Below are 13,286 nucleotides of genomic sequence, written 5' to 3' on the forward strand. Positions count from 1 at the left end.
GGAGGGCCACCCAGAGGCTGATGCTCACCATGGGGCGCCTGCAACTGGTTGTGTTGGGCCTCACCTGCTGCTGGGCAGTGGCGAGTGCCGCGAAGGTAAGAGCCCAGCAGAGGGGCAGGTCCTGCTGCTCTCTCGCTCAATCAGATCTGGAAACTTCGGGCCAGGCTGAGAAAGAGCCCAGCACAGCCCCGCAGCAGATCCCGGGCACTCACGCTCATTTCTATGGGGACAGGTGCCAGGTAGAACACAGGATGCCCAATTCCATTTGAATTTCAGATAAACTGCCAAGAACTGCTGTGTAAGTATGTCCCATGCAATATTTGAAACAAATTTCTATGGGCCGGGCGCAGTGGCTCACACCTGCAATCCCACCAGTTTGGGAGGCCGAGGTGGGTGGATCACTTGAGGTCAGGAGTTGGAGACCAGCCTGGCCAACATGGTGAAACCCCGTCTCTACTAAAAATACAAATATTAATCGGGCGTGGTGGTGGGTGCCTGTAATCCCAGCTACTCGGGAGGCTGAGGCAGGAGAACCGCTTGAAGCTGGGAGGTGGAGATTGCGGTGAGCTGAGATCACGCTACTGCACTCCAGCCTGGGTGACAGGGCGAGACTCTGTCTCAAAAAATAGAAAAAGAAAAAAATGAAACATACTAAAAAACAATTCACTGTTTACCTGAAATTCAAATGTAACTGGGCCTCTTGAATTTACATTTGCTAATCCTGGTGATTCCACCTCTCTGTTGTTCCCATTTTACAGAAGGGGAAACGGGCCCAGGGGCAGGGAGTGTGGAGAGCAGGCAGACGGGTGGAGAGAAGCAGGCAGGCAGTTTGCCCAGCATGGCACAGCTGCTGCCTCCTATTCCTGTGCAGGAAGCTGAAAGCCGAGCTACTCCACACCCGGGTCCGGGTCCCTCCAGAAAGAGAGCCGGCAGGCAGGAGCTCTCTCGAGGCATCCATAAATTCTACCCTCTCTGCCTGTGAAGGAGAAGCCACAGAAACCCCAAGCCCCACAGGAAGCCGGTGTCGGTGCCCGGCCCAGTCCCTGCCCCCAGCAGGAGTCACACAGGGGACCCCAGATCCCAACCACGCTGTTCTGCCGCCTGCGGTGTCTCAGGCCCTGGGGACTCCTGTCTCCACCTCTGCTGCCTGCTCTCCACACTCCCTGGCCCTGGGACCGGGAGGTTTGGGCAGTGGTCCTGGGCTCCTGACTCAAAGGAGAGGTCACCTTCTTCTTGGGCGAGCTCTTCTTGGGGTGCTGAGAGGCCTTCGGCAGGTCATCACGACCCCTCCCCATTTCCCCACCCTGAGGCCCTCTGGCCAGTCTCAATTGCACAGGGATCACGCCACTGGCACAAGGAGACACAGATGCCTCGCAGGGGATGCCCACGATGCCTGCATGTGTTGCTTCTGGTTCCTTTCCTCCAGTTCCAACCGCCGCACTCTCCCACACCAGTGTGACAGGGGGCCCATCACCCTAGACTTCAGAGGGCTGCTGGGACCCTGGCTGGGCCTGGGGGTGTAGGGCCACCCTGCCCTTCCCCACCTGGAACCTGGCACAGGTGACAGCCAGCAAGCAATGACCTGGTCCCACCATGCACCACGGGAAGAGGGAGCTGCTGCCCAAGATGGACAGGAGGTGGCACTGGGGCAGACAGCTGCTTCTCAACAGGGTGACTTCAAGCCCAAAAGCTGCCCAGCCTCAGTTCCGTCAGGGACAGAGGGTGGATGAGCACCAACCTCCAGGCCCCTCGTGGGGGTGGACAGCTTGGTGCACAGAGGCCATTTTCATGGCACAGGGAAGCGTGGCGGGGGTGGGAGGTGTGGTCCCTAGGGGGTTCTTTACCAGCAGGGGGCTCAGGAACTGTGGGGACTTGGGCATGGGGCCATCGACTTTGTGCCCAGCCAGCTAGGCCCTGTGCAGGGAGATGGGAGGAGGGAAAAGCAGGCCCCACCCCTCAGAAAGGAGGAAGGTTGGTGTGAAACATCCCGGGTACACTGAGCATTGGGTACACTCCTCCCGGGAGCTGGACAGGCCTCCCATGTGATGGCAAACAGGCCGACAGGAGACACGGCTGTTGCTCGTCTTCCACATGGGGAAACTGAGGATCGGAGTCAAAGCTGGGCGGCCATAGCCAGAACCCAAACCTCCATCCCACCTCTTGGCCGGCTTCCCTAGTGGGAACACTGGTTGAACCAGTTTCCTCTAAGATTCTGGGAGCAGGACACCCCCAGGGATAAGGAGAGGAACAGGAATCCTAAAGCCCTGAGCATTGCAGGGCAGGGGGTGCTGCCTGGGTCTCCTGTGCAGAGCTGTCCTGCTTTGAAGCTGTCTTTGCCTCTGGGCACGCGGAGTCGGCTTGCCTTGCCCCCTCCGGATTCAGGCCGATGGGGCTTGAGCCCCCCTGACCCTGCCCGTGTCTCCCTCGCAGCTGGGCGCCGTGTACACAGAAGGTGGGTTCGTGGAAGGCGTCAATAAGAAGCTCGGCCTCCTGGGTGACTCTGTGGACATCTTCAAGGGCATCCCCTTCGCAGCTCCCACCAAGGCCCTGGAAAATCCTCAGCCACATCCTGGCTGGCAAGGTGGGAGTGGGTGGTGCCGGACTGGCCCTGCGGCGGGGCGGGTGAGGGCGGCTGCCTTCCTCATGCCAACTCCTGCCACCTGCAGGGACCCTGAAGGCCAAGAACTTCAAGAAGAGATGCCTGCAGGCCACCATCACCCAGGACAGCACCTACGGGGATGAAGACTGCCTGTACCTCAACATTTGGGTGCCCCAGGGCAGGAAGCAAGGTCTGCCTCCCCTCTACTCCCCAAGGGACCCTCCCATGCAGCCACTGCCCCGGGTCTACTCCTGGCTTGAGTCTGGGGGCTGCAAAGCTGAACTTCCATGAAATCCCACAGAGGCGGGGAGGGGAGCGCCCACTGCCGTTGCCCAGCCTGGGGCAGGGCAGCGCCTTGGAGCACCTCCCTGTCTTGGCCCCAGGCACCTGCTGCACAGGGACAGGGGACCGGCTGGAGACAGGGCCAGGCGGGGCGTCTGGGGTCACCAGCCGCTCCCCCATCTCAGTCTCCCGGGACCTGCCCGTTATGATCTGGATCTATGGAGGCGCCTTCCTCATGGGGTCCGGCCATGGGGCCAACTTCCTCAACAACTACCTGTATGACGGCGAGGAGATCGCCACACGCGGAAACGTCATCGTGGTCACCTTCAACTACCGTGTCGGCCCCCTTGGGTTCCTCAGCACTGGGGACGCCAATCTGCCAGGTGCGTGGGTGCCTTCGGCCCTGAGGTGGGGCGACCAGCATGCTGAGCCCAGCAGGGAGATTTTCCTCAGCACCCCTCACCCCAAACAACCAGTGGCGGTTCACAGAAAGACCCGGAAGCTGGAGTAGAATCATGAGATGCAGGAGGCCCTTGGTAGCTGTAGTAAAATAAAAGATGCTGCAGAGGCCGGGAGAGATGGCTCACGCCTGTAATCCCAGCACTTTAGGAGGCCCACACAGGTGGGTCACTTGAGCGCAGAAGTTCAAGACCAGCCTGAAAATCACTGGGAGACCCCCATCTCTACACAAAAATTAAAAATTAGCTGGGGACTGGGCGCGGCGGCTCACCCCTGTAATCCCAGCACGTTGGGAGCCCAAGGTGGGTAGATCACCTGAGGTCAGGAGTTTGAGACCAGCCTGACTAAAATGGAGAAACCTCTTCTCTACTAAAAATACAAAATTAGCCAGGCGTGGTGGCGCTTGCCTGTAATCCCAGCTACTCGGGAGGCTGAGGCAGGAGAATCGCTTGAACTCAGGAGGCGGAGGTTGCGGTGAGCCGAGATCATGCCACTGCACTCCAGCCTGGAGAACAAGAGTAAAACTCTGTCTCAAAAAAAAAAAAAAAAAAAAAAATAGCCAGGCGTGGTATCTCATGCCTCTGTCCTCAGCTACCTGGGAGGCAGAGGTGGAAGGATCGCTTGAGCCCAGGGGTTCAAAGCTGCAGTGAGCCGTGGTCGTGCCACTGCACTCCAGCCTGGGCGACAGAGTGAGGCCCCATCTCAAAAATAAGAGGCTGTGGGACAGACAGACAGGCAGACAGGCTGAGGCTCAGAGAGAAACCAGGAGAGCAGAGCTGAGTGAGAGACAGAGAACAATACCTTGAGGCAGAGACAGCTGTGGACACAGAAGTGGCAGGACACAGACAGGAGGGACTGGGGCAGGGGCAGGAGAGGTGCATGGGCCTGACCATCCTGCCCCCGACAAACACCACCCCCTCCAGCACCACACCAACCCAACCTCCTGGGGACCCACCCCATACAGCACCGCACCCGACTCAGCCTCCTGGGGACCCACCCACTCCAGCAACCAACGTGACCTAGTCTCCTGGGGACCCACCCCCTCCAGCACCCTACCCGACCCAGCTTCTTAGGGACCCACCATTTGCCAACTGGGGCTCTGCCATGGCCCCAACTCTGTTGAGGGCATTTCCACCCCACCTATGCTGATCTCCCCTCCTGGAGGCCAGGCCTGGGCCACTGGTCTCTAGCACCCCCTCCCCTGCCCTGCCCCCAGGTAACTATGGCCTTCGGGATCAGCACATGGCCATTGCTTGGGTGAAGAGGAATATCGCGGCCTTCGGGGGGGACCCCAACAACATCACGCTCTTCGGGGAGTCTGCTGGAGGTGCCAGCGTCTCTCTGCAGGTCTCGGGATCCCTGTGGGGAGGGCCTGCCCCACAGGTTGAGAGGAAGCTCAAACGGGAAGGGGAGGGTGGGAGGAGGAGCGTGGAGCTGGGGCTGTGGTGCTGGGGTGTCCTTGTCCCAGCGTGGGGTGGGCAGAGTGGGGAGCGGCCTTGGTGACGGGATTTCTGGGTCCCGTAGACCCTCTCCCCCTACAACAAGGGCCTCATCCGGCGAGCCATCAGCCAGAGCGGCGTGGCCCTGAGTCCCTGGGTCATCCAGAAAAACCCACTCTTCTGGGCCAAAAAGGTAAACGGAGGAGGGCAGGGCTGGGCGGGGTGGGGGCTGTCCACATTTCCGTTCTTTATCCTGGACCCCATCCTTGCCTTCAAATGGTTCTGAGCCCTGAGCTCCGGCCTCACCTACCTGCTGGCCTTGGTTCTGCCCCCAGGTGGCTGAGAAGGTGGGTTGCCCTGTGGGTGATGCCGCCAGGATGGCCCAGTGTCTGAAGGTTACTGATCCCCGAGCCCTGACGCTGGCCTATAAGGTGCCGCTGGCAGGCCTGGAGTGTGAGTAGCTGCTCGGGTTGGCCCATGGGGTCTCGAGGTGGGGGTTGAGGGGGGTACTGCCAGGGAGTACTCCGGAGGAGAGAGGAAGGTGCCAGAGCTGCGGTCTTGTCCTGTCACCAACTAGCTGGTGTCTCCCCTCGAAGGCCCCAGCTGTAAGGGAGAGGGGGTGCCGTTTCTTCTTTTTTTTTGAGATGGAGTCTCACTGTTGCCCAGGCTGGAGTGCAGTGTCACGATCTCAGCTCACTGCAACCTCCACCTCCTGGGTTCAAGTGATTCTCTGACTCAACCTCCCATGTAGCTGGGACTACAGGCACATGCCACCATGCCCAGATAATTTTTCTGTGTGTTTAGTAGGGATGGAGTTTCATCGTGTTAGCTAGGATGATCTCGGTCTTGGGACCTCATGATCTGCCCACCTCGGCCTCCCAAAGTGCTGGAATTACAGGCGTGAGCCACTGTGCCCGGCCCCTTCTTTATTCTTATCTCCCATGAGTTACAGACTCCCCTTTGAGAAGCTGATGAACATTTGGGGCCCCCTCCCCCACCTCATGCATTCATATGCAGTCATTTGCATATAATTTTAGGGAGACTCATAGACCTCAGACCAAGAGCCTTTGTGCTAGATGACCGTTCATTCATTCGTTCATTCATTCAGCAAACATTTACTGAACCGTAGCACTGGGGCCCAGCCTCCAGCTCCACTATTCTGTACCCCGGGAAGGCCTGGGGACCCATTCCACAAACACCTCTGCATGTCAGCCTTACCAGCTTGCTACGCTAAGGCTGTCCCTCACTCATTCTTCTATGGCAACATGCCATGAAGCCAAGTCATCTGCACGTTTACCTGACATGAGCTCAACTGCACGGGCTGGACAAGCCCAAACAAAGCAACCCCCACGGCCCCGCTAGAAGCAAAACCTGCTGTGCTGGGCCCAGTGACAGCCAGGCCCCGCCTGCCTCAGCAGCCACTGGGTCCTCTAGGGGCCCGTCCAGGGGTCTGGAGTACAATGCAGACCTCCCACCATTTTTGGCTGATGGACTGGAACCCAGCCCTGAGAGAGGGAGCTCCTTCTCCATCAGTTCCCTCAGTGGCTTCTAAGTTTCCTCCTTCCTGCTTCAGGCCCAGCAAAGAGAGAGAGGAGAGGGAGGGGCTGCCGCTGAAGAGGACAGATCTGGCCCTAGACAGTGACTCTCAGCCTGGGGACGTGTGGCAGGGCCTGGAGACATCTGTGATTGTCACAGCTGGGGAGGGGGTGCTCCTGGCACCTCGTGGGTCGAGGCCGGGGATGCTCTAAACATCCTACAGGGCACAGGATGCCCCTGATGGTGCAGAATCAACCCTGCCCCAAGTGTCCATAGATCAGAGAAGGGAGGACATAGCCAATTCCAGCCCTGAGAGGCAAGGGGCGGCTCAGGGGAAACTGGGAGGTACAAGAACCTGCTAACCTGCTGGCTCTCCCACCCAGACCCCATGCTGCACTATGTGGGCTTCGTCCCTGTCATTGATGGAGACTTCATCCCCGCTGACCCGATCAACCTGTACGCCAACGCCGCCGACATCGACTATATAGCAGGCACCAACAACATGGACGGCCACATCTTCGCCAGCATCGACATGCCTGCCATCAACAAGGGCAACAAGAAAGTCACGGAGTAAGCAGGGGGCACAGGACTCAGGGGCGACCCGTGCGGGAGGGCCGCCGGGAAAGCACTGGCGAGGGGGCCAGCCTGGAGGAGGAAGGCATTGAGTGGAGGACTGGGAGTGAGGAAGTTAGCACCGGTCGGGGTGAGTATGCACACACCTTCCTGTTGGCACAGGCTGAGTGTCAGTGCCTACTTGATTCCCCCAGGGAGGACTTCTACAAGCTGGTCAGTGAGTTCACAATCACCAAGGGGCTCAGAGGCGCCAAGACGACCTTTGATGTCTACACCGAGTCCTGGGCCCAGGACCCATCCCAGGAGAATAAGAAGAAGACTGTGGTGGACTTTGAGACCGATGTCCTCTTCCTGGTGCCCACCGAGATTGCCCTAGCCCAGCACAGAGCCAATGCCAAGTGAGGATCTGGGCAGCGGGTGGCTCCTGGGGGCCTTCCTGGGGTGCTGCACCTTCCAGCCGAGGCCTCGCTGTGGGTGGCTCTCAGGTGTCTGGGTTGTCTGGGAAAGTGGTGCTTGAGTCCCCACCTGTGCCTGCCTGATCCACTTTGCTGAGGCCTGGCAAGACTTGAGGGCCTCTTTTTACCTCCCAGCCTACAGGGCTTTACAAACCCTATGATCCTCTGCCCTGCTCAGCCCTGCACCCCATGGTCCTTCCCACTGGAGAGTTCTTGAGCTACCTTCCATCCCCCATGCTGTGTGCACTGAGAGAACACTGGACAATAGTTTCTATCCACTGACTCTTATGGGCCTCAACTTTGCCCATAATTTCAGCCCACCACCACATTAAAAATCTTCATGTAATAATAGCCAATTATAATAAAAAATAAGGCCAGACACAGTAGCTCATGCCTGTAATCCCAGCACATTGGGAGGTCAAGGTGGGAGGATCACTTGAGGTCAGGAGTCTGAGACTAGTCTGGCCAACATGGCAAAACCCCATCTCTACTAAAAATACAAAAATTATCCAGGCATGGTGGTGCATGCCTATAATCCTAGCTACTCAGGAGGCTGAGGTAGCAGAATTGATTGACCCAGGGAGGTGGAGGTTGCAGTGAGCCGAGATTACGCCACTGCACTCCAGCAGGGGCAACAGAGTGAGACTGTGTCTCGAATAAATAAGTAAATAAATAATAAAAATAAAAAATAAGTTAGGAATACGAAAAAGATAGGAAGATAAAAGTATACCTAGAAGTCTAGGATGAAAGCTTTGCAGCAACTAAGCAGTACATTTAGCTGTGAGCCTCCTTTCAGTCAAGGCAAAAAGGGAAACAGTTGAGGGCCTATACCTTGTCCAATCTAATTGAAGAATGCACATTCACTTGGAGAGCAAAATATTTCTTGATACTGAATTCTAGAAGGAAGGTGCCTCACAATGTTTTGTGGAGGTGAAGTATAAATTCAGCTGAAATTGTGGAACCCATGAATCCATGAATTTGGTTCTCAGCTTTCCCTTCCCTGGGTGTAAGAAGCCCCATCTCTTCATGTGAATTCCCCAGACACTTCCCTGCCCACTGCCCGGGACCTCCCTCCAAGTCCGGTCTCTGGGCTGATCGGTCCCCAGTGAGCACCCTGCCTACTTGGGTGGTCTCTCCCCTCCAGGAGTGCCAAGACCTACGCCTACCTGTTTTCCCATCCCTCTCGGATGCCCGTCTACCCCAAATGGGTGGGGGCCGACCATGCAGATGACATTCAGTACGTTTTCGGGAAGCCCTTCGCCACCCCCACGGGCTACCGGCCCCAAGACAGGACAGTCTCTAAGGCCATGATCGCCTACTGGACCAACTTTGCCAAAACAGGGTAAGACGTGGGTTGAGTGCAGGGCGGAGGGCCACAGCCGAGAAGGGCCTCCCACCACGAGGCCTTGTTCCCTCATTTGCCAGTGGAGGGACTTTGGGCAAGTCACTTAACCTCCCCCTGCATCGGAATCCATGTGTGTTTGAGGATGAGAGTTACTGGCAGAGCCCCAAGCCCATGCACGTGCACAGCCAGTGCCCAGTATGCAGTGAGGGGCATGGTGCCCAGGGCCAGCTCAGAGGGCGGGGATGGCTCAGGCGTGCAGGTGGAGAGCAGGGCTTCAGCCCCCTGGGAGTCCCCAGCCCCTGCACAGCCTCTTCTCACTCTGCAGGGACCCCAACATGGGCGACTCGGCTGTGCCCACACACTGGGAACCCTACACTACGGAAAACAGCGGCTACCTGGAGATCACCAAGAAGATGGGCAGCAGCTCCATGAAGCGGAGCCTGAGAACCAACTTCCTGCGCTACTGGACCCTCACCTATCTGGCGCTGCCCACAGTGACCGACCAGGAGGCCACCCCTGTGCCCCCCACAGGGGACTCCGAGGCCACTCCCGTGCCCCCCACGGGTGACTCCGAGACCGCCCCCGTGCCGCCCACGGGTGACTCCGGGGCCCCCCCCGTGCCGCCCACGGGTGACTCCGGGGCCCCCCCCGTGCCGCCCACGGGTGACTCCGGGGCCCCCCCCGTGCCGCCCACGGGTGACTCCGGGGCCCCCCCCGTGCCGCCCACGGGTGACTCCGGGGCCCCCCCCGTGCCGCCCACGGGTGACTCCGGGGCCCCCCCCGTGCCGCCCACGGGTGACTCCGGGGCCCCCCCCGTGCCGCCCACGGGTGACTCCGGCGCCCCCCCCGTGCCGCCCACGGGTGACGCCGGGCCCCCCCCCGTGCCGCCCACGGGTGACTCCGGCGCCCCCCCCGTGCCGCCCACGGGTGACTCCGGGGCCCCCCCCGTGACCCCCACGGGTGACTCCGAGACCGCCCCCGTGCCGCCCACGGGTGACTCCGGGGCCCCCCCTGTGCCCCCCACGGGTGACTCTGAGGCTGCCCCTGTGCCCCCCACAGATGACTCCAAGGAAGCTCAGATGCCTGCAGTCATTAGGTTTTAGCGTCCCATGAGCCTTGGTATCAAGAGGCCACAAGAGTGGGACCCCAGGGGCTCCCCTCCCATCTTGAGCTCTTCCTGAATAAAGCCTCATACCCCTGTCGGTGTCTTTCTTTGCTCCCAAGGCTAAGCTGCAGGATCTGCCTGGCAATTGCAGGCTTGCTTTTTCATGCCCAGCTCATCTTATCTTTGGCCAGAGGCGGCCTCAGGTTGACCTCTGTAGTCCTTTGACTCAACCCTTGGGTCTTGGGCACCTTCCTTACTTGCAGCCACCATGATGGTGCAGGCTCCAGCCCCTCCCTGGCATTTCCTGCCATGGACCCGGCCCAACCATCTCCGCAGGGTGCACTCCTTCGTCGGTGTGAATATGGTGTTTAGAGACCCCAATCTGGTCACCAGGGGTGGTGCTTGCTCCTGGGATTTCGTTACTGCTAGGGCTTTGGAAGAGACAGAGCCAGGAAATAAGTATTTTTTTTTAACCAGTAAAAAAAAAAAAAAGTATGAGGCCGGGCACAGTGGCTCACACCTGTAGTCCCAGCACTTTGGGAGGCTGAGGCAGGAGGATCACTTGAGGTCAGGAGTTGGAGACTAGCCTGGCCAACATGGTGAAACCCCATCTGTACTAAAAATACAAAAAATTAGCCAGGTGTGGTAGTGCGCACCTGAGGTCCCAGCTGAGGCAGGAGAATCACTTGAGCTCGGGAGGTAGAGGCTGCAGTGAGCCGAGATCGCACCACTGCACTTGAGCCTGGGCAACAGAGCAAGGCACCATCTCAAATAATAATAAAAGTATGAATTCATACAGGTATTTCCCAGTTGTAAGACTGTCAGGTTTTACTTCTCTCATTTTACACTTGTTTCTTTCTCCGCCTATGCTGAAAGTCTGGGTTCGACAGCACCAACATAATTGTTTATGTTCTTTTTCCTATAACATACATATGCTAGTTTTGAAATATAAGATATAGGCCGGGTGCAGTGGCTCACGCCTGTAATCCCAGCGCTTTGGGAGGCCAAGGCAGGCGGATCACGAGGTCAGGAGATCGAGACCATCCTGGCTAACACGATGAAACCCCGTCTCTACTAAAAAAATACAAAAAAAGTTAGCCAGGCACGGTGGCGGGCACCTGTAGTCCCAGCTACTCGGGAGGCTGAGGCAGGAGAATGGTGGGAACCTGGGAGGCAGAGCTTGCAGTGAGCTGAGATCACGCCACTGCACTCCAGGCTGGGCGACAGAGCGAGACTCCGTCTCAAAAAAAAAAAAAGAAATATAAGATATTGCAATAAATCATATGAGTTACATTTAAAGTACATGAATTTAAATAAATTATAAATTATATAAAGTAATATATGATAAAATATTAAGACTACTAAGGATCATTTAAGATCGTTTTGCTCATTCTCCTTAAATTATCCCACAGAATAAACAATTGTGCCTCTAGGTCCCTTAAGTAACTCTGTGGTTACTTAATTGGTAGATTAAGCCATCTACCGATACACAGTTAGAAGTTTGGGGTTTTTTTAATCATGCAGATGTAGACACTGACCAAAGACTTCTTGTTTTTTCCTTTGAGACTGAGTTTCGCTCTTATCACCCAGGCTAGGGTGCAATGGCATGATCTTAGCTCACTGCAACCTCTGCCTCCTGGGTTCAAGCTATTCTCCTGCCTCAGGTTCCTGAGTAGCTGGGCCTACAGGCGTGCGCCACTACGTTCGGCTGATTTTTTTTGACTTTTAGTAGAGACAGAGTTTCACCATTTTGGCCAGGCTGATCTTGAACTCTTGACCTCAGGTGATCTGCCCGCCTCAGCCTCCCAATGTGCTGGGATTACAGGCATGAGCCACTGTGCTCAGCCCCTACCTAGGACTTTTAAGCGGATGTTTCTCTGCCTGAAAACAAAGTTTAAGTGTTCCTTTTAGAGCAACCTGTAAACAGTAACTGTAGACCCTGATATTTATTGTGCCATGAACTTCTCATCCATAGTTTTGCTGAGTGAAGGTATTGATGGGAAATGTGAAATTCAGAGAGGCAGGCACGGGCCCAGGCCACACAGCTGGGGAGCGGCAGCATTGGTTGGGACCTGTGTTGGATTTGCAATTCTGCCTTGTGTGATGTAACCTGGACTTCATTAAAATTAAAAATTTCTGCTCTGCAAAGACACTGTTAGGAAAACAAAGACAAGCCACAGACTGGGAAAACATTAGCAAAAGACATCCGATAAAGCACTGTTATCCAAAAATATACAAAGAGCTTTTAACACTCAATAAATAAAAAAAAAACCTGATTCCACAATGGGTCAAAGGCAGACACCTCACCAGAGAAGCTATACAGGTGGCAAATAAGCATCTGAAAAGTTAACCTAGGTTGGGTGCAGTGGCTCACACCTGGAATCCCATCACATGCGGCGGCCAAGGCAGGAGGATCTCTTGAGGCTAGTTAATTCAAGACCAGCCTGGACAGCAGAGTAAGACCCCATCTGTATTTTTTTCAAAAAGATATCCACATCATATGTTGTCAGGAAAACGCAAATTTAAACAGTGAGCTACCACTGCATACCTGTAAGAATGGCCAAAATCCAGAAAATTGGCCAAACACCAAATGCTGATGAGGACGTGGAGCAACCAGAACTCTCATTCAGTGCTGTTGGGAATAACAAACGGTACAGCCACTTTGGAAGACAGTTTGGCAGTTTCCCAAAACATAATGCCTATTTCTTCCATGTGATCCAGCACTCTGATTCCTTAAGATTTACTCAACCTGCAAACAGATGTTTATAGCTGTAAACCAAAGATAAAACTCCAAGCCCGGCAGCTGACTGAATGGAACGCCCTCTTGGCCAGGGAAACCCAAAGGGACCTGAAGGTTCAGGCCATGATGGGCAGTAGGGGTCGGACATGCCTCATCATACTCTCTTCCCTTTGGAATTCAGGCACAGCTGACCAGCTTTAAAACAGAGATCTTAAGACTGACAGAACAGACTCTGTAGAAATAAGATATAAAATTCCAACCTGACTGAAGTATAGCATCACATGACAGATAGCAGGTCATGAAACAAATTGAAATATTTTACCCCAAAATGTATTTCTTTGACGTATTTTGGAATGGCCCTGCACAGCTGTCTCTTGTGGAGGAAATTTGCATTCTGTAGAGAATCTCCTTCCCTTACCAGGTCATTTCTGAAGAGTCCAGCACCCTTTAGAGGTCTGAGAGGAAACATTTGCCATCTATTGTCTCTAAGGGAAGCCATCTATGAGATTTCATCTACATAACAAAAATCTTGGACCAGGCACGGTGGCTCATGCCTGCAATCCCAGCACTTTGGGAGGCCGAGGTGGGCAGATCACCTGAGGTCGGGAGTTTGAGACCAGCCTGACGAACATGGAGAAACCCAAACTCTACTAAAAATACAAAAATTTAGCTGGGCGTGGTGGCGCATGCCTGTAATCCCAGCTATTCAGAGGGTGGAGGTAGGAGAATTGCTTGAACCTGGGAGGTGGAGAT

At 55.8% G+C, this 13,286-nt stretch overlaps 1 protein-coding gene across 1 annotated transcript; it reads left to right on the top strand.

Annotated features, from left to right (window-relative positions):
• On the top strand, positions 8-9,888 carry CEL (carboxyl ester lipase). Its single transcript, NM_001807.6, has 11 exons — positions 8-95; positions 2,431-2,581; positions 2,667-2,789; positions 3,067-3,264; positions 4,557-4,687; positions 4,865-4,972; positions 5,115-5,232; positions 6,699-6,885; positions 7,083-7,286; positions 8,488-8,685; positions 9,014-9,888. Exons 1-11 carry the CDS (start codon positions 30-32, stop codon positions 9,789-9,791), a joined length of 2,262 nt encoding a protein of 753 aa, NP_001798.3. The 5' UTR covers positions 8-29; the 3' UTR covers positions 9,792-9,888.

Source organism: Homo sapiens, chromosome 9, assembly GCF_000001405.40.
Source record: "Homo sapiens chromosome 9, GRCh38.p14 Primary Assembly".
Lineage (NCBI taxonomy): Eukaryota > Metazoa > Chordata > Mammalia > Primates > Hominidae > Homo > Homo sapiens.